This window comes from Homo sapiens, chromosome 12, assembly GCF_000001405.40.
Source record: "Homo sapiens chromosome 12, GRCh38.p14 Primary Assembly".
NCBI lineage: Eukaryota > Metazoa > Chordata > Mammalia > Primates > Hominidae > Homo > Homo sapiens.
The window spans coordinates 109,471,370-109,495,980 of NC_000012.12; the positions used below are offsets into that span (position 1 = coordinate 109,471,370).

Consider the following 24,611-nt stretch of genomic DNA (forward strand, 5'->3'; position numbering starts at 1 on the left):
TCAGGGCCCTGCAGAGTGAAACAGAGAAAGAACGGCCTCCTGGAAAGAAATGTTTTCTCAAGAAACAGTTCCTTTTTCATCAAGAAAAGTCACAAGAAAATATGTTTTCAAAAGCTCAGGCTTAGCTCACCTGGGGTCTTTGCTGCCCGATGCCAAACACAAAAGAGGTCCAGAAGAAGCAGTTACCCCTCCTTTCTAGCTGTCCTCTGAAATCAGTCCCCAGAGACCTCACACTAACAGTTATGACCAGCCACCTCCCTCAGAAAAATCCTTTGTCCATGGGATGACAGGAGTAGCTTATGGAAATAAAAGTTTCCAAAAACTGTGAAGACCTCGAAGGGGGGGAGAAAAGGCTTACGGTCATGGGTGAGGGTGTGTGTTGAGGAAATTTGCCCCAAAATGCAAATACTTTTTAAGCACCCCTTTCAGATCTAATTTTATATAATAAATGCTTGTTATGGGAAACGATCTAGCATTTTGGAAGGTGCCTATCATGAAACAGACAAAAAAGTACATAAAGTATACTTCATGTAAAGTCAAAGCACAGTAAATATGTGATATGAAGGATTTTTTTCTAATGGCATACTTGTATAGGACACTTACCATGAATGGAGTGTGTAGGCCTGGAAATTGCTCTGGGTGAGCGAGTGGTGAGTAAATGTGAAGGTCTAGGACATTACTGTACACTACTGTAGCTTTATCAACACTGCACAGGGAGGCCACACTACATTTATTTAAAATATTTTTTCTTTCCATAATAAATTAACCTTTGCTTACTGTAACTTTTTACTTTAAAAACTTTTTAATTTTTTTTTAACTTTTGGACCCTTTTGTAATAACATAGCTTAAAACACATATTGCACAGCTGTACAAAAATATTTTCTTTCTTTATATCCTTATTCTATAAGCTTTTTTCTCTTTTTTTACTTTTTAAACTTTTTTATCCAAAACTACAAAATACACACACATTAGCCTAGCCTACACAGGGTCAGGATTATCAGTATCACTGTCCTCCACATCCTGTCCCACTAGAAGGTCTTCAGGGACAGTAACACGCATGGAACTGTCATCTCCCGTAAGAATCCCTTCTTCTGGGATACCTCCAGAAGCACCTGCCTGAGGCTGTTTTACAGTTTTCACTTAAAAAAAAAAAGGCAGGTAGGAGTATATTCTAAAATAACCATTAATAGTAAATACATTAACCAGTGATATATCTATCAAGTTCATTACTATTATCGACTATTATGTACTGTACATAATTGTGTGTGCTAGACTTATACAACTGGCAGCAAAGTAGTTCTGTTTACACCAGCATCACCACGAACACGTAATATGTTGTGCTACCACTGAAATGACAGCTACACTATCACTGGGCTACAGGAATTTTTCAGTTCCATTATAATCTTAAGGGACTGTTATATACGCAGTCTGTCACTAACCAAACTGTCATTATGTGCGCATGACTGTACCTTTTTTGGCTTTCCAATACCTTTTTAAAGATAATTTGCACATAATGAAGTATACTTTAAGTGTACAGTTTGATGTGTTTTGGTCAATACTTGCACCTGTGTAGCCCCCACTCCAATCAAGCTGTCTTGGAACATTTCCATGCCTCCAGAAAGCCCCTCGGTGTCCCTTGACCACTGCATTTCTACCACATGCCTTTTACAAATTCAAACAATGCTGGAAGACAGCTATAGTTATTTCCATTTTGTGGATTTGGATGCCACAGCCCCATCAGGGTCAGTCACTCTCAAGCTGGAGTTGAGTCAGTGACGGGGCCAGTGAAGGACATGGGCAAGTGGTGGCTGGCCCAGAGACCATCACACCTAGTAGATTGAGAGCTATGATACATAAGCTGAGAAAGGCCAGCCTCACCTCCCTTCTTTAAAAAGTACAAAAAGCCCTGAAAATAGTCGCGAGGTAAAGTGTGGCTAAGGGTTTGGAGTTAGACCTGTGCATAAGGCCCCAGCCCTACCACTTAGTAGCTGTGTCCAGGGCCAAAAGCCTCACCTCCCTCACAGGGCTCCCTAGCTCTGAGTAAACACTCCAAACACTCAAATTATGATGATTTGAGAATGCTCCCGAAGTCTCAAACTATCTTCTCTTTGGAAACTGTTTCCAGCTCTAATGGCAGACGGCATGACTAAGAGATAAAGGCAGGAGCCATCCTGATCTAGAATGAGACTACAGATTAGGCAACAAAAGCTCTAAACCTTTTCAGAGCTCACCCTCTCCAAAGGTCAGTCAACCTAATAGTAGGCAAGGCCCTTGGGGGAAAAGTTTTGGCAGCATTCGTGTCCTTGAGCCCAAGTTACAGTGAACTTAGGACACGAGGCAGTGGACCAGAGACCCCCACCATAGCAAACCTCTCTAGGGAGGACTCTCCCCACTGTTGCTACTGGAATCCTGCTTTTTTTTTTTTTTTTGAGACTGAGTTTTGCTCTTATTGCCCAGGCTACAGTACAACGGCACGATCTCAGCTCACCGCAACGTCTGCCTCCCAGGTTCAAGCAATTCTCCTGCCTCACCCTCCCGAGTAGCTGGGATTACAGGCATGCACCACCACACCTGGCTAATTTTATATTGTTAGTAGAGATGGGGTTTCACCATGTTGGTCAGGCTGGTCTCAAACTCCTGACCTCAGGTGATCCTTCTGCCTCGGCATCCCAAAGTGCTCGGATTACAGGTGTGAGCCACCGCGACTGGCTAATTTTGTATTTTTAGTACAGACGGGATTTCTCCACATTGGTCAGGCTGGTCTCGAACTCCCGACCTCAAGTGATCCATCTGCCTCGGCCTCCCAAAGTGCTGAGATTACAGGCATGAACCACCGTGCCTGGCCAGGATCCTGCTTTTTGACTTGTTTCAAAGGTTTGATTTCATTACCAATGAAGCTGGGGAGGTGAAGCAGGAGACAGCAAAATTGGTTACATGAAACAGAGAGGCAATGAATACTTGAGATACTGGCTACGGATCTGATTCAATCAGAAGTTTATTCCAGTTAAATGGTCAGTCTCTCTTCTCTCCATCTCCCCTGAATATAATGTTGCTGATTCTAAACAGTGGCTCTCCAGTTGGTGACAATCGAAATCAGCTGGGAGCTCAAAACTCCTGACACCTAGGTCCTACCATGAAAATTCTGATGTAATTGGTCCGGGATGTGGACTAGGCAACAGAATTTTTAAAACTCCCTCAGGAGATTTTAAAGCCCACCAAGATTAGAGCCCACTATTCTAAAAAGCACTGTACCCCTTATTTAAGCTACCATTAACTCCACGGTCTTGGCCCAGTGAATTCCTGACCTGACACATTAAAAACAAACCAAAACACCATAAACCAAAGCCAGCCCCCACTTCACAGCTTCAGAGCCACAGGGAGGAAGCAACTGTATGCATGCATGAAAATACAAAAATCAGCTGAAGGGGGAAAATCATCGACTGAAAAGGAGGCTCAGGCAAGTACAGTAGGAAAAAACGCACCAAATCCCTGACCCCACGTTTTCTATATGCTTCTCTGTAGAAGTCTTGTGTGCCTGTGTGTGTGTTAAGGAAAACGGGATAGTCTCGGCAAACCTGGATTGCAATCCAGTTCCACCATTTCCTTCGTGAAATTCAAGCAATTTAACCCAAGTCTCAGTTTTCTAACTTGTAAAATGGAGTGTTAAAGCCATAATCTTCAAAACCCTCAGAGAATGAATGTTAAAGCATTTGGCACCTAGTCCTTTGTGTAGTTTCCTTTGGGCGTCTCAAACATTGGGATCAGTGGTTCCCAACCCTGGCTACTAGAATCACCTGCGTGTGCTTAAAAAACATGATGCCAGGCCAGGCACAGTGGCTCACACCCATTATCCCAGCACTTTGGGAGGCTGAGGCGGGAGGATTGCTTGAGCCCAGGAATTCGAGACCAGCCTGAGCAACATAAGACCTAATCTCCACAAAAAAATTAAAAAAAAAAATTAACCGGTCATGGTGGCACACACCTGTAGTCCCAGCTACTCGGGAGACTGCGGTGGGAGGACTGCTTGAGGCAGGGAAGGTGAGGCTTTAGTGAGCCAAGATAATACCAGTGCACTCTCCAGCCTGGGCGACAGAGCAAGACCCTGTCTCCAAAAAACAAAAACAAACTCACACACACCTGTGCTTGCCTGGGCTACACCCCAGATCAATTAATCAGTATCTCAGAGATGCGGAGGGGTGGCTGATCAGTCACTAGTGTTTAAAAAGCTCTTTGGGGGATTCGGATGTGGGACCAGGGCTTACTGCCACCTAGCTAAGGTATTTAACCAGCTTTATCTAAGAGTTGCCAGGGATGTGAGGCAAAGCATCACCTCAGGGGATTCCTACAGCAAAGAAGTTTAAGAAACACTGTATTGAGGCTTGTATAAAACCTTCCCAAACTGAGGGCATTTCTACAACTCAGAAAAGTCTGCTGTTACATTTCAACTAAACTAAGTCACATAATTGCAGCATTTTACATCCAAAATTTGCTTATAAGACAGCTACCGCCAATTGCAACTTCCATCAAATGACATTCTCTCCCTGTGTTTAATACACAAACTCTTGGTCTATTTCTCTCAATGTTCTAGTGAGAAAGATGTTTATCATCAACCCCACTTTTTTGGGGAGAAAACTAGGAATCACACCTATAAGAGCCCTCTGACTCCCAACTCCTTTGCCCCTTTCATTACACAGTCCAAATCAAGAAATCATTAGTCTAATCCCTTGCAGGGCTTGTTAAAACCGATAGATGGGCTCCACCCCAAGAATGTCTGATTCAGTAGTCTCTGACAGGGCTTGAAATTTCAGCCATTTTGAATAAGTTACCAGGTGTTGCTGCTGGTGGGACCAGAGTTTGAGAACCACTGGTTTATGCTGCCTTCTTCCCATCCGCTGGTCCTTATTTTGCACAAAATGGAGCGGACTAGTCAACGTCAGCTACAGGATAACTGACTTTTCTTCAGCAGCGTCACTGGGACTGATTTTCCCTTAAGACTGCACTTTCCAGGGACGTGACAAACAAGCAAGCAAGTAGAAAGAAGATCTGGGCCAATCTTTGGTCATCTCTACCCAGGGACAATGAGCTACTCAGGGAACAGACCCTTGAGGATCCCAAGCAGACAAACCCCACAGCTGAGAGACAGATCTTGAAACATCCTCCGCTCCTTAGGCGTGGTCACCTCTGGCCTCAATGGAAGTTACAGATAGGTACCCAGGCGCCAGCTGAGGCACTGAACTCCGTGGCGCAGGTATCCTAACCTCAGGCCCCTGGCATCTCTCCCCAGGATTCCAAGCACTGAACGCACATCAGCCTGCTGGGCTCTCTCGATTTCTTTCCCTCACTGGGCCGTGTGTTCAGACGCACCTGGGAGCCCCTTCCCCACTTCCTGGAAACTCAGCGACTCCAGCCACAACCTCCAAAACGCCAAACGCTCCGCCCCAAGGAATCCTACCTCACCTTCTCATAACCTGCCCATTCATTCTCCTTCATAATCCTCCAAATCCTCATTTTCCACCCCCAAATGTCCGTTTTCAATTGATATCTCTTTGTTCTCCTCGCAATCACCAACTCCCATCTCCAACCAGCACTCAGGACTCACTTGGAGACACCCCTTCCTCACGCACACACGTATCTACTCCGCAAGCCCAAATGTGCTTCCCGGATTCCTAACCGCCAGGGAGCCTCCCTACCACCACCCCCGCCCCTAATTCTCCACCCAAAGCCCTTCCCCCACCCCGGGCCTTTCCCCTAACCAATCCCCCAAATGCCTCTCCACTATCGTGACTGCCCCTCATCACACCCCCTCCTCTCGGTCCCTTCTTATACTCTGCTGCTGCCCAGCTCCCTCGGCCGCCCTCAACCCCTAGTCCATGGGCACCGCCCTCCCTACCATGAAAAGTCGGAGGACGCAGGAGTCTCCAAACCCGGACTGAGAGAGGCAGGAAACACCCAGCTCACGCCAGCCGGGGGCGGAGGCGGGGCCGGAGCGATAACTTCCGCTGTCCGCACCCCACTTCCGCCCCGCAGAGGGCAACGTCTTAAGCCGTCCGTTGTGCGCCTAGGGGCCAGTTTTCTTTCCAGCCTCCCCGGCCGGAGTGGGTTCCAGCTTTTCTCGGCTGGGGAGGGCATTTATCCCACCTCCGCTATTTCAGCTGCCAGAGGGGAGGCAAGGTGTGGGGAAGTTTTCCTTCCCGGGCGAAGAAGCTCTGCGGAACTGTCATTTTCCGGAACTGGATGCTTGCTTCCTGGCGGGGTTCTGAAAGCGAACACCGCGGGGCAAGATGGCGGTAGTGCGTCGGCTGCTGCCCCGGGTCTGGCAGAACTCGGGTGTTTTGGGCTGAGACAGTGGCAGCTGCGGCCCCGACCCCAAGTGCGGGGACCTCCGGCGAATAAAGGTCGGCCTGCGGGTAGGCCGGTAGGGCCTGCGGTCCGGCCTGCGGGAGAACTGGGTCGTCAGTCCTCCGAGTGGTGGGGCTGGGGACTTTGAGGGAGTTGGCTCTAGGGCACAGTCCCTGCCTGGCCAGGTCGGAGGAACAAGTGCTGGGATCTGGCGTGTGTGCTCCAGGGGCTCTTTCCGCGGCCCTTTCCACCTCTTTTCACTTTGGGGACGGTAGGCCTTTATAAACGGACTAATGCTGGGTGATTTGTTCCTGTGGTTGTTGATGCCGAGGAAAGACTCTGGGCCCCAGGACTCACCTAAACTGGAGTTCGAATACTGTTCGCTCGCTGTGTGACCTTGGGTGAGTTCCCTCACCTCTCTGAGCCTCAGTTTCCTTCTGTGTAAATGGAGTAATTAGCAGGTTTCACAGAGGGTGTGAATACGTTTTAGTACCGTGCCTGACACCTAGTTCTGAATAAAGAAAAACTTGATCGTAATTTAACTCCAGCTTAGCCCCCACAGGCAATCTTGCACTCTCAACTTCTCTTTGCTTGGCCATTCTGTGAACGGGGGAGCCCTGGATCTTGTTTGTTTTACTTAGTGATAAATAACTGTTTTGGATATACATGGATTCAGATTCAAAAGCATCCACCTTAGATAGGCTGTAGCTTTCAATAAATAGTAGCTGTTAATATGAATAGTCTCTTTAAGTCGTGTTTCCTATTCTTTAAATAAAAATTAGATTATTGAGGCTGGCCACGGTGGCTCACGCCTGTAATCCTAGCACTTTGGGAGGCCGAGGCGGGCGGATCACCTGAGGTCAGAAGTTCAAGACCAGCGTGGCCAACATGGTGAAACCGCATCTCTACTAAAAATACAAAAATTAGCCGGGCGTGGTGGCGGGCGCCTTTAATCCCAGCGACTTGGGAGGCTGAAGCAGGAGAATCACTTGAACCTGGGAGGCGGAGGTTGCAGTGAGCAGAGTTCGCGCCGCTGCACTCCAGCCTGGGCAACAAAGTGAGACTCCGTCTCAAAAAAACAAAGATTATCGAGAACTGATAGAGCTGTTGAAAAGACAAGTTGGTTAAATAATCTGTGCAGTGTCTGATACACCGTCTGCCCAGAACAAGTGGTGGTGGTCATTAAACCTGGTGGCCCAGCTTTTCCTACTGCACAGGGACAATCCTCTTGGCTTAGTCAGCAGTTGGTATTTATGATGCTTCAGCTTTGGAAATATAGAGGTAAGACAAGAGTCTGAATCCTGCCTCTTAGTTATTACAGCCTTGACTCTGCCACATACTAATGGTCTAGACTGGAGTAGATGAGATCATGAATGATCTTCTCATAGGACTCCTCTCCTTATTAGATGAGATCACTTATAAAGGACTTGACACATAATGGGCACTCATTTACTTTTTTAAATGATCTTGGTTATCACCAACCTCTTATTTTCTAATCTTTCTACCTATATGATTCTTGTTTCCCTAACTAGATTGCAAGCTTCTTAAGGACAATACAATAAAGCTCACTTACATGCTACATGCTTTTAGATATCCTATATTAATATTTTCCCATTTAATCCTAATCACAATGTTGTGATGACTAAATTGAGGTACAAGAAGGATAAATGTTGCATTTAATCCTTTCAGCAACCCTAGGACATAGACACTATTATTACCCTCGATTTACACATAAGGAAACTGAGGCCTAGAGAGGATAAGTAACTTGGCCAAATGTCGGATAGAAGGAGTACTAAAAAGAACCAAGGCCCGCTTTCTCTGATGCAAGACTTTTTCTGCTGCGCACAGCCTTTTCTTTGGTTCTCCATGGCATTTAGCAAAATAAGTACTTAATAAACACTTGATTGTGTGTTTTATTAATTGACGAACTATAGTATACACTGTGCAGGTGGAGAAGGTATATAGGAAAGGATGAGAAAAACTGTAAAGTGTAGGCTATTATATGATATGAACAGAAATCAACCAATAACATTGCTGAAGGGATAATAATCTCAAGGAAGGGGATAAGAGTAATTTCTTATTCTGGGAGGGCCCCTGGGAGAAGTGAAAGTTTTAAGATCGTCTTACAGTGCTTAGGTACAGTTTGCATGCAACTTTGTTTTTCTTTTGGGAAGAGGCTCCCTCTTCCCCTTCTAATTCCATGGACCCTCTGCCATTGAGGCACTGTCTGCATGTCATGGAGGGAGCATATCATTGTGCTTGTGGCTTGGGCCCTGCTCTTTTGCAGTCCTGAGGAGCTTGAATCTGTTACTCACTCTAAACAACAGGGCCAGGAGTTCATAGCCCAAGGGACAGGACTGGTGAATCTTAGTGCATTTAAGATAGGAAAAAAGTTAATGGGTGAGAAATGTCAGACTGCCAGCATTATTTCCTACCCAGAGAACCTTAGTAACTGTCCAGGTGGGAGCCTCTGCTGAAGAGTTTTTTTTTTTTTTTAATCCTTGTGTCTATAAAAATAATACACCAGTTAGACTTCCTGACTATACACTCTACAATGTGCACTCAAGTACCTCCATAGGTACCTGATAAGCATCATCACATTTAGTCCTCATTATCAACCTCTAAGCCAATTAATAGATGAAGATGGAAAGACTCAGGGCCCAGTGTGGTGGCTCATACCTGTAATCCTAACATTTTGGGAGGCCAAGGCAGGAGGATCTCTTGAGCCCAGGAGTTTGAGACCACCAACCTGGGCAATATAGCGAGACCCCACCTCTACAAAAAATTTAAAAACTAGCCAGATGTGGTGGTATGTACCTGTGGTCCCAGCTACTTGAGAAGCTGAGGTGGGAGAATCGCTTGAGCCTGGGAGGTAGAAGCTGCAATGAACCATGATTGCACCACTGCACTCCAGCTTGGATGACAGAGCGAGACCCTGCCTTAAAAAAAAAAAAAAGACTTAGACATTCTCCCTATAGTATGTGGCAGAGCTAGGGACTGGCTCCAACTCTGTGTGACTCCCAAAGCCCGTGTGCCCCTCACTGTGCAGTGCTGCTTCACCATGTGCATGCTGTGGAAAATTTAGAAAATACAGACCAATTAAGAAAAATTTCCCGCAATTTCAGTACCTCAAAACAGCCACTGGTAACATGTTGGTATAGTTCATGCTAGTTTTGTATCTGTGTGTGTGTACATTTTTCTTTAGGTAATTGGGGTCTTATTGGTCCACAGGCAGCCCTTTATTCACTTCTAAGGCATAAACGTTTTTCCATTATCATTAAAAATGTCAAACACGCTGAGGCAGGAGAATGGCATGAACCCGGGAGGCGGAGCTTGCAGTGAGCCAATATCGCGCCACTGCACTCCAGCCTGGGCGACAGAGCAAGACTCCGTCTCAAAAAAAAAAAAAAAAATGTCAAACATGGCCGGGCACAGTGGCTCACACCTGTAACCCCAACTGAGATAGGGTATGGTGGCACACACCTGTAATCCCAGCTACTTGGGAGGCTGAAGCAGGAGAATCGCTTGAACCTGGGAGCAGAAGTTATAGTGAGCTGAAATTATGCCGCTGCACTCCAACCTCAGCGACAGAGTGAGACTATCTCAAAAAAAAAAAAAAGGAAAATGTCAAATATAATTTTCAGTAGCTCTTTAACATTCCATGACCTCTAAGTTATTTTGCTTCCCATCACAGCTGTAATTCAACAACAACTTTGGGATTTATTTTCAACATATTCCCTTTAAACTGTGAGGATTGAAGAGATACAGTATAACATTTAGATGAGACATTAAATAAAGAGGACCCAGTGGTGTTTTTAAAAAACCATTGGCATTGTAGTTACTACTTTTACTCAGTGAGGAAGATGTATGATACCACACCTATAAAATTTAACCCTAAGTCTGGATTTTTTTCTTCTGCTTCTGCCAGAAAAAATAACAAGCTTTTCTGAAGTGAGAAGCTGTTCTCAGCCACGAGTCCTGTGCAAGATCACTAATGATTACCTGGCATTTCTGCGACACAGGCAGGTCCTCAGGTGAGATCTCCAGACTTTACTGCTGGGGCAGGAAGCGTAAATGATTCAGAAGATGGCTACCGTTTCTCTCCAAGCCTTTTATAAGTTGGTGCAAAAGTAATTACGACTTAGTGTTTTTTTAAAAAAGTTGAAACCCACAATTACTTTTGTACCAACCTAATACCTTCCCTCCTGTGGTCAAGTGGGCTCTGTTAGTTTGTTTCAAGGATTACTGATGATGTTTGACAGATCACTGTTGAGAAGGGGTCACAGAGGTCCCTTGATATGTTCATGTGGTGGGAGGCTTGCACCAACTTTTTTTTGGTTATAAAAGGGTATTATTTTATTGTCCTTATTAATACTAATAATAGAGCACACTTATTAAATGCCTTTCAATAACACGTAATTAATTTAATACCTCTAGGAGATAATACTATTAAGTCCAATGTTTATTTTAATAATTTTTAAATTTCTTTGTATGGATGTAGGGGGTACAGGTTTCTTATATGCATATATTGTGTAATGGTGGAGTCTGGGCTTTTAGGGCACCCATCACCCGAATGGTGAACATTGTACCAATAAATAATTGTTCAATCCTTACCCCTGTCCCATCTCCCACCTTTTGGAGTCTCCATTATCTTATTCCACTCTGTTTGTCCATGTGGGCCCATTGTTTTGCTCCCACTTCTAAGTGAGGTCATGCAGTATTTGCCTTTCAGTTTCAGAGTTATTTCACTTAGGATAGATGGCCCCTAGTTCTAGCCATCCGACTTTTTACTCTGGATGATATTTTCATGTGGGTGCTACTTCAAGTAAAGTAGCCTGGTAGAGAGATTGTTTTCTGGAAGTCTGGATTTCTGAATAATTCATTTCAGTGTTTTTAACTGGGCTGATTGTGCATTTTGTATAGAATGGCAATGTCATCAAGCATCTAAAGAAATCATCTCAATATGGGAGCCTCCGGGGGTCAGTGCTGTGTGCTTTAGGCTGCTAGCAAAAGCTGTTCCTTTAGGAAAAAACAGTTACTGGTGATTTAGATAAAAACTTAGTATATAATTTAGAGCTGCTCTTCAGAAAAGCACCCGTTAGTGGACAGGACCAGTTCTACAGTAAAGTCTTCACTGGTCCTTGGCAGGATGGTAATTGTAAGGACAATGGAATAAGCTATACATAAAACCAAATATCTTCAATATAATGGACTGTCTTGCATTCTGAAGTGTGTACCTTTTGCTTTGTTAATGTTGAAATGGCCCTTTCTTTTTTGTGTGCTGTCACAAAGTATGCACTGGTAAATATTTGTTTAGTGAATGGATGAATACAATGATGATGACAGCAAATAATCATGTTGGATTTTTCTCTCGAGTCCTTACTTGGCAAAATAAAAGCTGACCTCTCAGTTTTGGTTTCCCAAATACTGTGGACTACTCCAGAAAATTCAAATATCTGGGAATCTTTGACCTATAGGATACCTGGTTTGAATTAGAGCTTTATGGGTGGGACTGATTCATTCTTTGTTCATTCGTAAAGCTGGGCCTGCCCTTATCCTATGCCAGGTGCTGTGCTCTTTCCCTTAAGAAGATGTGATTATTTAATATAGGATGTAGCATCCCTGGTCTTGGTGAGTTGCATGAAAGAGCCTATAGGAGGTAGGGACTTGTGCCGGAGAGCTGTTAGCGCTTTGGAGGGTGTTGACAGGTCCTGAGTATCTCTGCTGCCCAGGTCCCTGCCCACCCTCTGCTCTTGAGCCCCTTTCTGTGTGTGTTTTTCACACAACAATCTACAACACCCACTTGCCCATTTTCCTTGCAGGGTTTGTGCAAGTTTGCAAACATGTTCACCCTGTCTCAGACCTCGAGAGCATGGTTCATCGATAGAGCCCGTCAGGCACGAGAAGAAAGGCTTGTGCAGAAGGAACGGGAGCGGGCAGCTGTTGTGATCCAGGCCCATGTCCGGAGTTTTCTCTGTCGGAGTCGACTGCAGAGAGATATCAGGTAAGGGCTAGGATCTCCCTAGCACATGATTCTCTGGCTCCCAATTAATAGCAGATAAATGAGTTTTTTCTCATAAAGTGCTTGAAAAGCCTTCCAGGTGCTACAAGCTGTTAATTTAAAATGTCTTTTTTTGCACTTTCTTTTCTAGGAGAGAGATTGATGACTTTTTTAAAGCAGATGACCCTGAGTCCACTAAAAGAAGTGCACTTTGTATTTTCAAGATTGCCAGGAAACTGCTGTTCCTATTCAGAATCAAAGAGGATAATGAGGTAAAACGATAATAGCAAACATGTATAATACTTCCATATGTCAGATCTTTTATAATTATTGATATTAACTCAGTTCTTATAGCAGCTTTATGAGGTAATTACTGTCACCCTCACATCCTGTCCCTTTTGTTTTCTTGGGACCTGTTTTGGAGGGATTATGCCCAGTGCTTTTAGGAATCTTTTCACATTGACCATTATAAGCACAAGTTGAACTCAGATGCATGCAAGAGTCAGGAAGTTTAGGTAAATGAGTAAAAAAAACATATATGAGATAAAACATAATACAAAATACAAATCATATTAAACGGTAACTGACAGGCAGCAGTGGTAAGGACATCAAAAGGAGTAGCAGGGTCTGTGGCCTGCCCCATCCACGGGGAGCAGCTACTACACACCTCGGTGGTGGACTCATACTCTGATTTTTTTTTGAGATGAAGTCTCTCTCTGTCGCCAGGCTGGTGTGCAGTGGCGCAGTCTTGGCTCACTGCCAGTCTTCACCTCCCGGGTTCAAGCAGTTCTCCGGCCTCAGCCTCCCTAGTATCTGGAACTATAGGCTCGTGCCACCACGCCCAGCTAATTTTTGTATTTTTAGTAGAGATGGGGTTTCACCATGTTGGCCAGGATAGTCTCGATCTCTTAGCCTTGTGATCTGCCCGCCTCAGCCTCCCAGAGTGCTGGGATTACAGGCGTGAGCCACTGTACCCAGCCTCTGATTTTTTTTTTTTTTTTTTAAAGAGATGCCAAAGATCTGAGTTTTTATGCTCAATGTTCGTTCATTCATTCTTTCATATTCTGAGACAGGGTCTCACTGTCGCCCAGGCTGGAGTGCAGTAGCACTATCACAGCTCACTATAGTCTTGACCTCCCAAGTCTCAAACGATTCTTCTGCCTCAGCCTCCTCAGTAGCTGGGACTGCAGGTGTGTGCCACCATGCACAGCAAGTTTTTGTATTTTTTGTAGAGATAGGGTTTTACCTTATTGCCCAGGCTTGTCTCAAACTCCTGGGCTCAAGTGATCCACCTGCCTCAGCATCCCAAAGTGCTGGGATTACAGGCGTGAGCTACCATCAATGTTCTAATTTGTAAATCTTGGCAATTAATTTGAAATTTTTTAAATATCCTGCAAATCATACAAAAGGTGCCAGTTTGCACCTTAGGGATTAGAATGATCAGCCTGAAAAGTGTAATCCCAGAAAAGCAGCTAGTTATCTGTAATAGTACTAACAATGCCACTGAGGCATGTCTCCAAGTTACCAGCTGTTAGGCTGTTAGGCATTCCTATTGCTAAGCTTCACATTGTGCCAACCCTCTCTAGGCACTGGGCCCTTGGGAGGAAACAGGACGGGCAAGATCTCTACGCTCATGGAGCTCATAGCCCAGCAAGAGAGGGAGGACTATGCAGGCAGTGAACACATGATTACGTAGATGAGGACAGATAAGCTGGAGGAGGTGAACCTCATCTTACAGAGAAGGAAACTGCAGCTCAGGGTGGTAGGGCAGCTTGCCCAATATCACATGGTTTAAGGGCGGATCCAGGATTGGTATAGCCAAAATGGAACCTGTTTTCTAGTTTCCACTTTTCTTCCTTTTGCATTACAGGATAAAAGTGATGATACAGCAGCCTTTGGCTACTGGCTGTGAGGCAAAAGTCAGTATCCATGGTGCTTAAGAAAAGGTAAACTGGAGAGCACAGTTGAGGAGACAGCAGCAGGCCTGCAGGAATCCAAATCCAGTTTGCCAGATTGATACTGTTTTTTGAAAGAAGCCTCAATTTGGGTTTTTATGTGAAGTATACCAGTTTCTAAAACATTTCTATAGGGTTCCTCCAGCTCTTGGGCCACCAGTTGGAGAACCCTTTAGTCTTTATGATCTTCAGTGTCCTCATCTGTAGGAAGGAACTGCATGTGATTATGTGTGAATCACCTGGCATAATACCTGCACGTGCCAGGTACCCGCTGAAGGCTTGTTTTCTTTGTTTTCACTTTTTGATGGATTGTGGGAATGTATAACCCCCAGTGTGTCTCTTTGCAGAGATTTGAGAAGTTGTGTCGCAGCATCCTGAGCAGCATGGATGCTGAGAATGAGCCTAAGGTAAGTGGACGGGAGCCGCAGTGTCTCCCACAAGCTCTTAAGGGCCAACCTACTGGGCTCTGAAAGTTCCTGTTGAATATTAGGACCAATTCACACACAAATGCAAATAAGTAGTGGATGGAAAACATTACCAAAGTACAAATGATTCCTTAGTTTCTTCATGATCCAGGTAGCTACGTTCTGCTCTTGCCACAACACAGGATAGTAAATTTTCTTACTAGGCTATTTTGTCTTTGCGTTTAGTGTTAAAATAAGTCCTGTTTACAGCTTATTTGTCCATTCAGGTCCACTGCTTTATCTGGCACTGGACCTAACTAATAGGTCCAGTTCCAACAGTTAGAGCACAAGTGATATGATCTCTATAACAGCCCATGACATTCCTCTTTTTCCCACCTATAGGTGTGGTATGTGTCCCTGGCTTGTTCTAAGGACCTCACCCTCCTTTGGATTCAACAGATCAAGAACATTTTGTGGTACTGCTGTGATTTTCTCAAGCAGCTCAAGGTAACAAAAAAAAAAAAAAAAAAAAAAAGCAAAACCAGAAACAGTACGTATGTCATTTTCACCTGTAGACTTTAGTCTGTATTTTCAGAGTCACTATCAACGAGAGTTGCTAGTTGAGCCACTGTTCTGGAAGAGAGGAATTTTGATTCTGTTATCAATATGAGCCCTCCTTTGGTGTGTGTTGGACCCTTAAACTGCTTGCCACGCCACAGCCTCCATGGCAGGGAATCTGTCACTTTCCTTCCCATTCATTTAATGTAATCAGTACTTTATGATCTACATTATTATACTAGTCAGGCCTCTTGTTAAAAGTACAGAAGCCGAACGTGAGCACAGCTAGTATCACGTACCAGTTAAGCAAGGAAGAGAACGTTGTGCTCTAGAATATATTCAGTAACGTGGCAGCTAGAGTAAGGAGAGCTAGGGGGTTCTGATTCTCCCTCTCATTCTTTTCTCTCATCCCTGCTCCCTTTTGGGGTCACCTCGTCCTTTCCTGCTGTAATCATGGCAACGAGCAGTTTTGACTTTATATTCTTACTCTGTCTTGACTAAAGGGAGGAGAGGCCTCCCGACCAGTTCAAAAATCCAGGTTTCTTGTAGGTCCAGTGAATCCTGGGTTCATCTCTGAACCAGTCACAGTGGCAAGAGGAATGGGGTACTGCCACTAGCCCAGCCTGGTCCTGTGTTCCCCTACCCCCTTCAGTGTTCTGAAAAGGATGGACAGGGGTGTGAGCAGACATACACAGGAGCCACTTCCACTTTGCTTATAAGGATAGAGAGGTCTCAGGGACAGAGGCTTGGCAAGGACACAGATAGCAGCTCAGTAATGGAACGAAAGTCCCCAGACCGCCCCCAACCCCAGTAATAATCCATTCCCAGCCATCCCTCTTTGGCTGCTCAGGAATGGCTCTTGCCATGCCTGGCTTGTCAGGTGAGACATGGCTCAGCGCAGGGTTTCCACACTATGTTCCTCGGAGCCCTGGGAGTCCACCAGAATGCCTTAGGGCCAAGTGAGCAGGGTATTTCCCTACCTGCACGCGAGCCAGGCAGATCCTTGTTTATCTGCTCTCTATGTGTACATTCCACAACAGATTGCTCTTTGAGGAGAAGCTCTTCTATTTTGGACAAACAAAAAAAGTTTATGCAAAGAAACAGACGTCAGGAGAAAAAGGGCCCTGACTCTGGAGCCAGGAATATGTGAAATTCAGTCCTGATTCTGCTGTTCATTTCCCACGTGGCCTTGAACAAGCTGCTTCCCCTCTCTTACTGTCGATGAGCTTTGAGGTTTGAACTCAGTGGTCTCCAAGGTTGTCTCCAAGGTCCCTTCCAGGTGGACCTGCTATAGGGTCTGTGGGCCTAGAAAGCAGTCAGGCCTTTTGCTTGACTTACACTTGGTGAAACAATGAACTGTCATCAAAATTAGAACAGCAGCCAACATTACATGGAGTTATCTATGTGCCAGACACTGTTCTTAGTGCATCATACGCATTAATCCATTTATTTCTCACAACAACCCTATGAGGAAAGCAGTGTTACTATTTCTGGTCAACAGATGAGGAAACCGAGGCACAGAAAGGTTAAGAAACTTGCCTAAGCTCACACAGCTAGTAAGTGGTGAAGTCAGAAGGCTGAGCCCAGAGTCCTAGTCATGCTCAATTGCATTTCTGCTCTGTTGCTGCAGAGTTCAGACAGACAGGCAGGCACATGTACATACAGCAAGCCAGCCCTGGTCATCTTGTTTTCTAGGGATTCTCAATTCTCCATTCCCAAGAATAATGGAATCCCATGATTCCATTATCAGGCACTAGAGTGCCACATTCCCTGTTATTTAACTCCTGGAGTGGTCATTGCCCAAGAGAAAAAGAATTAAGACTGACTTATAATCCTGACTCAGTGATTCCAGGCTGAGTGCCCATAGAGCAGTTGTAAAGTGAACACTTCACTGTCTGGAATCAGAAGACGTGTGTCTTAATCTTGCTGTGTTTATTGTTTCCAGCCTGAAATCCTGCAGGACTCCCGACTCATCACCCTGTACCTCACGATGCTTGTCACCTTCACAGACACTTCAACGTGGAAAATTCTTCGGGGAAAAGGTCTGTGGGACTTGCTTCAAAATGTTCTCTAACCAACATTTCCATAGAGAGCTCAGGGACCTTTTTTCCTTTGTAAGAAGCATTTTTGCCACAAGCCTCAGGGAAGGCCCTGAGACCATACAAATGAGGATGCCCTTGGTGCTGACCATCAGACTGCATCGCAGTATCCACAATCCATTCAGCATTGTGTGTTGTACTCAACCCTTCTTTGAATTTACATTTAAAGTCATGGTTCTTCTGATTTTAATTTTTATAGTTCCCACAGTGCCTTAGCCTCCAAGTGATTACATTCACTTAAGCCTTGTCATTTTACTTGGAAAATCATTAGGTTGTGAATAATTCTATTTTGCCCATAAAATTTGCATTATAAACTTCTTCCTTCCCTGGTAAGTGTCGTTAGTGCCGTGTGTTTCATATGGTCATTTCATTCATCTGTTCAACAAGTAGCCCATACATGCCAGATGCCTCTAGGCGCTGAAGACAGATAAGCAAAACAGAAAGGGGCATTGCCCTCCAGGGACTTTAGGTGCTCCCTTCCTCACAGAACTTAAAGTCCGATGAGGAAAACAGGCATTAAATAGATGTCGCTCATAGATATAAAATGACAATAATGTGGTAAGTGCTTGGAAGGAAGCATGCAAGAGAAATGAGAGTGTCCAGTAGGGTGGGGAGGCCTTGCTTGGTCTGGGTCTCTAGCTTTCCTGAAGAAGTGGTGTGTGAGCTGAGAGCTGCAGAGGGAGCTAGGATTCACAGAGTGAAGAGCGGGGATGAAACGGAAAGCAGGGAAAGCTGTATGCAAGGCTCCAGGTCAGCAAGGAGGGCTTATTTCAGGCATGACCCTGGCCTCTTGGGGGGAACCCAAAAATTGTTCAGTTCTGGGCCCTGCTGGGAAGCTCATGTCCCATTGAGGAGAGTAGGCATCCCCCTGGCGAAGGCAGTGCTAGGCCCTAGGAGGGAATTAGAAAAGGTGCTACAGGCGCTCAGAGGCCAGAGACGTCACTTCTGGCTAGGGGTGTGAGAGGACCCATCACTCAAGAGGTGACACTTGAGCCAGGCCTACCAGGAGAGAGAGAGTTCCAGGTACGCATTGCCTTTCTGTGCTCTGGCACCAGGCCTAAGGGAAAAGGGAGGCAAGCCAGGGGGTATCTCATTTCTTAGGGCCTCGGATGTGGGACACAATTTCCTGTCCCACATAAACAGGTCACATTATGGCAAGAGACTTTTTTGTTCTCACTGTTTTCTTTCTTTAGGTGAAAGTCTTCGACCAGCGATGAACCACATTTGTGCAAATATAATGGGACATCTCAACCAGCATGGATTTTATTCTGTGCTGCAGGTCTGTGACTCCTGCCCCCCAGTGTGCAACTTCTCCACTCTCCAACACCTGCACTTGGATTTTTACATTTGCATTCAGCATACCTGGTGTCCTCCTCAGAAACACTTTTCATAGGAAGAGCTTGATGCCTGCTGTCCTCTTCTTCCTTCCCCTGCCTTGTCTCACTTGTGGGTCAGGTAAAGGGAGGACAGTGGTGCTGGGATCCCTTGAATGCTCTACATTTTTGGCTGCAAGGGTAATCCAGTCTTTTGACATTTAAACTCTGGAAGGAGACCTCAGGGCTTGTTCCCTCAGATTCCTTCTTGGTTGATGTCTAGAATCATATTTCTAGCTCTGTGTCCTCAAACAGCCCTTTCCACTTTGTACCTTGTTGTGCCAGATCATACCTCTAGGGAATTGTTGAGAAAGCCTGATTGCTGTTTAAAGGTACAATGGAAGTCTTGAGTTTGAGAAGTAATGTTGACTTTGCCCTTCCTTCTCCCTAGTGCTGTGATGGGCTGTTTCCTGATTTGGTTTCATATGCTCCTCACAACAACCCTGTGAGGTGGTCCGTTGGCAGAAGCTGGTATGACTGGCAGTTGTCTCGCTAGAGGAACCTTCTACTTCATACCATAATTAAACGGCTTCTAAAATAATATGATGTCTTTAAATTTTAAGTCTGGCATTATTTGTATTAGCTGTTTTTTTAACTTTATTATTAAAGAATTTCTAACCATAATATTTAGAGAAAGAGTGGTAGAGTTAACCTCGTTACCCAATACTTTCTTCCCTTTCCTTTTATAAAAACACTGCATACGGTTTTTTGTTTTTTTGTTTTTTTGTTTTTTTTTTAAGAGACAGGGTTGCCCTGTCACCCAGGCTGGCCTCAAGGAATCTTCCTGCCTCAGCCTCCTGAGCTGGGACTGTAGGTACAAGCCACCATGCCTGGCTCACAATACAGTTTTTTTATCTGAAGCACTCAGTTTACTTTTTTGCTCTTTTATGTACAAATGAATATAAAGTTGATATCATCCTCTGACCAATTAAAACATTCTTTTCAGATATTGTTAACCCGTGGCCTGGCAAGACCCCGTCCTTGTCTATCCAAAGGCACTTTAACAGCAGCTTTTTCTCTAGCGTTACGGTGAGTAAGAAACCATAGCTGAGGTGTTGGCATGTTCTTGAATGCTTCCTCCTCTTGGTTTTTCTTTCTCTCGTTACTGGTATTAGGTATAGACTTGCCCATTTTGTCAGAATTTATGGGAAGCATTGTTCTTAATGAAAGTGAGCACATTTGTGACTGCTCAAACTTTTTCTTAATCTTCAGTCTTGAATATTTCTTAATCTTCAGCCCTGAATATTATTGCAGTGTGATCTTTGGAAACTATTCAAAATGAATTTCTTTTATCTAAAAGAGGCCAAGATGCAATCATTTTTCCTTTTGAAGTTTTAATTGACAAAACAAAAAACCTAGGAGCCAGGAGAAGCCCAGCAAAGGGCAGGGTGAGAGGATTAAGGAAATAATGTGAATACGCATGTAAAATGTTAGAATTTGGAGGACCAGAGAAGAGGTGATATTTGCCTTCACTTAGTTTGGAGATGTCAGGTACTGAAGAAGCTAAGTTAATTCCTTATGGAAATTACACCTGCAATTCTGAGAATTGCCAAATGTAAAACACTATGCTTGTTCATAGGTCCAGAACATGTTTAAACTGTCAAGGGGAACACTAGCTTGGGGAGATGTTAATAAAAGATCCTGGAAGGAAGAGTGTCATGGTGGAACCAGCTTGGTGAAAGCTGCCTGCTCTGCCCCCATCTGTGGATCTACAGTACACCTTCATGCTGAGAGCTCTGAGAAGTGCTGCTATGCTAGCAGGACCCCATGGGCTTATTTAACCCGGGGTTGGCCCAAACGTATCTGAGCATGGAATACCCCTGCCTTGTTTTTTGGATGCCGTTGATATCCCATGAAATCATTTTCCATGGAAAACCTATTTGGAAAATGATGGGCTAGAGCATGGGTTGGCCAAATTTTCTGGAAAGAGCCGGATAAATATTTCAACTCTATGGGCCATACAGCCTCTGTCACAACCACTCTGCCATTGCATCTTGAAAGCAGTCGTAGATTGTACATACACAAATGAGCATGACTGTGTTCCAGTAAAACTTTATTTACAAAAATAGGCCATAGTTTATAAACACCTGGTCTAGACTGTGCTTTCCACTAACCACTAGCCACAGGGGGCTGTTTAAATGAAAATTCATTTAAGTTAAATAAAATGAAGAATTCACTTCCTCAGTTGCATTAGCCACATTTCAAATGCTCAGCGGCCACATGTAACTAGTAGCAATTGTGTGGGACAGCACAGATATAGAAAACTTCCAGCATCACAGAAAGTTCTGTTGGACAAGGCTGACCTAGAGCAGGTCTGTCCGATGGAAACACAGTTAGAGCCACATTTAAAAAGCCAAAAGAGGCCAGGCACGGCGGCCCATGCCTGTAATCCCAGCACTTTGGGAGACTGAGGTGGGCAGATCATTTTGAGCTCAGGAGTTCAAGACCAGTCTGGGCAACATGGCCAAACCTTGTCTCTACAAAAAATACAAACATTAGCTGGGCATGGTGCCATGTGCCTGTGGTTCCAGCTACTCAGGAGTCTGAGGTGGGAGGATCACTGGAGCCAGGGAAGTCAAGGCTGCAGCGAGCCGTGATTGAGCTTCTCCAGCCTGGATGACAGAGTGATACCTGGTCTCAAAAAAAAAAAAAAAAGTCAAAATAAAAGGGAAATTTAGTATAATGATATGTTTTTATTTAAACTAATATATCCAAAATGTTATTTTTACATGTAATCAATATTTTTAAATTATTTTAATTAAAATTAAATGTGTTACATTTTTCTCTTCATGCCAAGTCTTCAAAACTGGTATGTACTTAGAGCACATCTGAATTTGGACCAGCCGCATTTTTAAGTGCTCAGTAGCCACATATAGCCAGTGGCTACCATATTAGACCACATGCCTCTAGAGGCTAGACCCTCACACAGAAGAACAGGATGTAACCGGTTATGCTATCATTAGTTATGGAAGTATAACTATTTATCTAATAAACAATTGTGCCTTCATTTCATACTTCTAGGGAAGTTATGTGAGTTGTATTTAATGAGCCCTAATGTCTAGGTACAAACAGGTTTTCCCAGAAGCCTAAGAAACAGATTCACTGCAACTGTCCCTACCCAAGTCACCTTGTGGGGCAGCTCATTCCAGCAGCATTGCCCACTGTCCTCTGGCAGACACAGTGAAGGTCAGCACACTGAGGCCTGAACTTTCAAGCTCAGGAGCAGCTCTGCCTCCCCCTCCACCTCCAGAGACACAAGCTCTAGGAGCACCTCACCTTTCTTACCTGTCCAGCATCCCTCCCCTGTCCTGGTGTGGTTGTAATTCACATATGATTCACCAACATGCTCACATCCAGTCATTCTACCACACTTAAATTCTCCTTTAAGAATATAACCAGCAGTCATCCTTGTAGTTTTTCTTCTCTGTATGTATTAGATTCCATTGAATCACTTGTTAAGGCCAGGCTACTCTAAAGCCTTTTTCCCAAATAGAACTTTTCCCCTCTGAATGTTTGTATATAATTGAACACAATCAGGACCTTTTAAAGTAAGATATCAGTGGTTTCATCATATAGGAATATAGTGAAAGTCTATAAAATCGTCAGTGGTGTGCCAAGATGTGATCACTAAATCCTGAAATATGAATAGCTAACATTCATGGGCCACACATTGTTCTAAAACTTTTACACGTATTAACTGACTCCTCACCACATTCTCTTATCTCCGTTTTATTTATTTATTTGTGAGACAAGGTCGTGCTTTGCCATCAAGGGTGGAGTGCAGTGGCATGATCAGAGCTCACTGCAGCCTCAAACTCCCGGGCTCAAGCCATCCTCCCACCTCAGCCTTCCATGTAGCTAGGACTACAGGCACATGCCCAGCTAATTTTTTTATTTTTAAAATTTTTGTAGAGACAGGGTCTCACTATATTGCCCAGGCTGGTCTCAAACTCCTGGCCTCAAGCGATCCTCATGCCTCAGCCTCTCAAAAAGTGCTGGAATTATAGGAGTGAGCCACCACACCTGGCTTTTCTCCATTTTATAGATAAGGAAGCTAAGGCCCAGAGAAGTTAAACTGTTTGCTCTTGGTCACACAGCAGGGAGTGGCCAGGCCAGAAATTAAACCCAGGCTATTTAACTCCAGAACTCATACTCTTTCTTCTTATTCTTTGTACTTGCCTCACATGTTGGACACATTTTTGTATTCTAAGAATAATATATATATTTTTTAGTAAATAGCACTTGAGAACCTTCCCAAACTTGCCCTGTTCCTCACACTGCCGTGGCATTGATTTTCTGGACGCCTAGTTTGCCCAGGCACTTAGTCATGTAACCACTAGCCGTGGCTTCTGTTTTTCCCCATATGCCTGCCCAGCTCCCTGGTTGTACTCTGAGCTCTCTGTTAGCAGGGACTGTGCATCAGTCATACCTCTTCTGTTTATCCTTCTCCTCAACCCCCCACCATGTCTGGCCCTGTTAAACAATCAAGTAAGCAGTGCACTTATAGACTTTGTCACCCAGAGGTACTTAAATGCAACAGCTACAGGTAGGCTAAAGAAAGATTCTGTTGACCTCATGCTGGGGAAATCGGTAATAAGAAATTGAGGGAGTTGTAGGAGTGTTTGCAGTGTGTGTGGTTTTTTGAGTCTGGCCTCATGCGGACTAAAAAGATCACACCCCTCCAAACATTGAGGCAGCCCTGCAGTCCTATAATGCTTCCACTGATACGTCGCTCCCAGTCAGGCAGGCAGGCCAAGTTACTTAGGGATATGGCCCAGGATGGAATCCATAGGTTTCTGTGAGAACCCCTAGAGAATGCCACAGCCCTTTGTACCCTTATAACAATGCAGTCCTTTCCTTGCAAATGCGAAGTGACTGGTTGTAGTTTTAGCAGCTTTCTCTGTGATTTGCTTTTCTTCTATTTAGGGAATTGTGCTCTTCTGTTTTAAACTTCTTTCTAACCTGCAGAAAAGAACATGGTTCTCTTTTCATGTGCCCCACTCAGATCAGAGAGGTTAGCTCAGTTGGTTAGCCTCACCTAGACAAGTGGTGAACATAGGTACTGATATTTTCAGCATTTCAGCTTCATAAAACATCCTTGTCCCAAAAATGGTACTCTTGAAAGTGAAAGTATATAGTGTGAATTCTGAGAGCCTAAATACCACTAACACCTCTGCTCATTGCTATTGGAGCACATTAGCTAGAAGAAACCTTTTTTTTCCCCTCTGTAAGTTGTTCTCATACCTTTTTTTCTGCATGACCTCTGAGTGATTTTTAAAAATAACTTTATTGAAGTCTAATTCACATCTCATACACTTTATTCATTTAAAGCATACCATTCCCTGGCATTTAGTATGTTCACAGAGTTGTGCAACCATCACCTGCTGAGACCAGCTTGGTCGGGGAGACCCTAACCCAGCGGCACTAGAGGAATTAAAGACACACACACAGAAATATAGAGGTGTGGAGTAGGAAATCAGGGGTCTCACAGCCTTCAGAGCTGAGAGCCTCGAACAGAGATTTACCCACGTATTTACTGACAGCAAGCCAGTGATAAGCATTGTTTCTATAGATTATAGATTAACTAAAAGTATTCCTTATGGGGAAACAAAGGGATGGGCCGAAATAAAGGGATGGGCTCTGGCTAGTTATCTGCAGCAGGAGCAAGTCCTTAAGGCACAGATTGCTCATGCTATTGTTTGTGGTTTAAGAACGCCTTTAAGCAGTTTTCCACCCTGGGTGGGCCAGGTGTTCCTTGCCCTCATTCCAGTAGACCTACAACCTTCTGGCCGTGGGCATCACGGCCATCACGAACATGTCACAATGCTGCAGAGATTTTGTTTATGGCCAGTTTTGGGGCCAGTTTATGGCCAGATTTTGGG

General features: G+C 44.4%; 2 protein-coding genes across 29 annotated transcripts in view, besides 2 other annotated features; one reads left to right on the forward strand and one right to left on the reverse strand.

The window, feature by feature from the left end:
* The window catches only part of KCTD10 (potassium channel tetramerization domain containing 10), a 28,646-nt gene extending 22,715 nt beyond the window's left edge, over positions 1-5,931 (reverse strand). For all 7 annotated transcript variants that reach the window (NR_133898.2, NR_133897.2, NM_001317399.2 and 4 more), the window contains exon 1: positions 5,891-5,931. Coding sequence is in view for 5 of the 7 variants with exons in the window: in NM_001317399.2 (NP_001304328.1) it covers positions 5,891-5,893 (3 nt within the window). In the remaining 2 variants the exon portion in view is untranslated. The remainder of the gene's footprint in view (positions 1-5,890) is intronic.
* Positions 4,844-5,579: an enhancer, noted in NCBI's record as "H3K27ac hESC enhancer chr12:109914018-109914753 (GRCh37/hg19 assembly coordinates)". NCBI's record gives its function as "activates a minimal SCP1, AML or CMV promoter by ChIP-STARR-seq in primed H9 embryonic stem cells {active_cell/tissue: H9 hESC(primed)}" and the evidence as "EXISTENCE:reporter gene assay evidence [ECO:0000049][PMID:30033119]".
* Positions 6,088-6,177: an enhancer, noted in NCBI's record as "active region_6986". NCBI's record gives its function as "activates an Ori minimal core promoter by ATAC-STARR-seq in GM12878 lymphoblastoid cells {active_cell/tissue: GM12878}" and the evidence as "EXISTENCE:reporter gene assay evidence [ECO:0000049][PMID:35858748]".
* The window catches only part of UBE3B (ubiquitin protein ligase E3B), a 70,196-nt gene continuing 51,849 nt past the window's right edge, over positions 6,265-24,611 (forward strand). For 6 of the 22 annotated variants that reach the window (XM_011538961.2, XM_047429844.1, XM_006719681.4 and 3 more), the window contains exons 1-9: positions 6,265-6,740; positions 10,268-10,373; positions 12,162-12,343; positions 12,492-12,612; positions 14,643-14,702; positions 15,102-15,206; positions 17,203-17,299; positions 18,550-18,635; positions 19,676-19,758. In XM_011538961.2, coding sequence (XP_011537263.1) covers positions 12,183-12,343; positions 12,492-12,612; positions 14,643-14,702; positions 15,102-15,206; positions 17,203-17,299; positions 18,550-18,635; positions 19,676-19,758 — 713 coding nt within the window. In that variant the 5' untranslated portion in view covers positions 6,265-6,740; positions 10,268-10,373; positions 12,162-12,182. Of the gene's footprint in view, positions 6,741-10,267; positions 10,374-12,161; positions 12,344-12,491; positions 12,613-14,642; positions 14,703-15,101; positions 15,207-17,202; positions 17,300-18,549; positions 18,636-19,120; positions 19,354-19,675; positions 19,759-24,611 lie in introns of those variants that run through there. The other 16 variants (XM_047429851.1, XM_047429853.1, XM_047429845.1 and 13 more) reach the window with 7 other exon arrangements.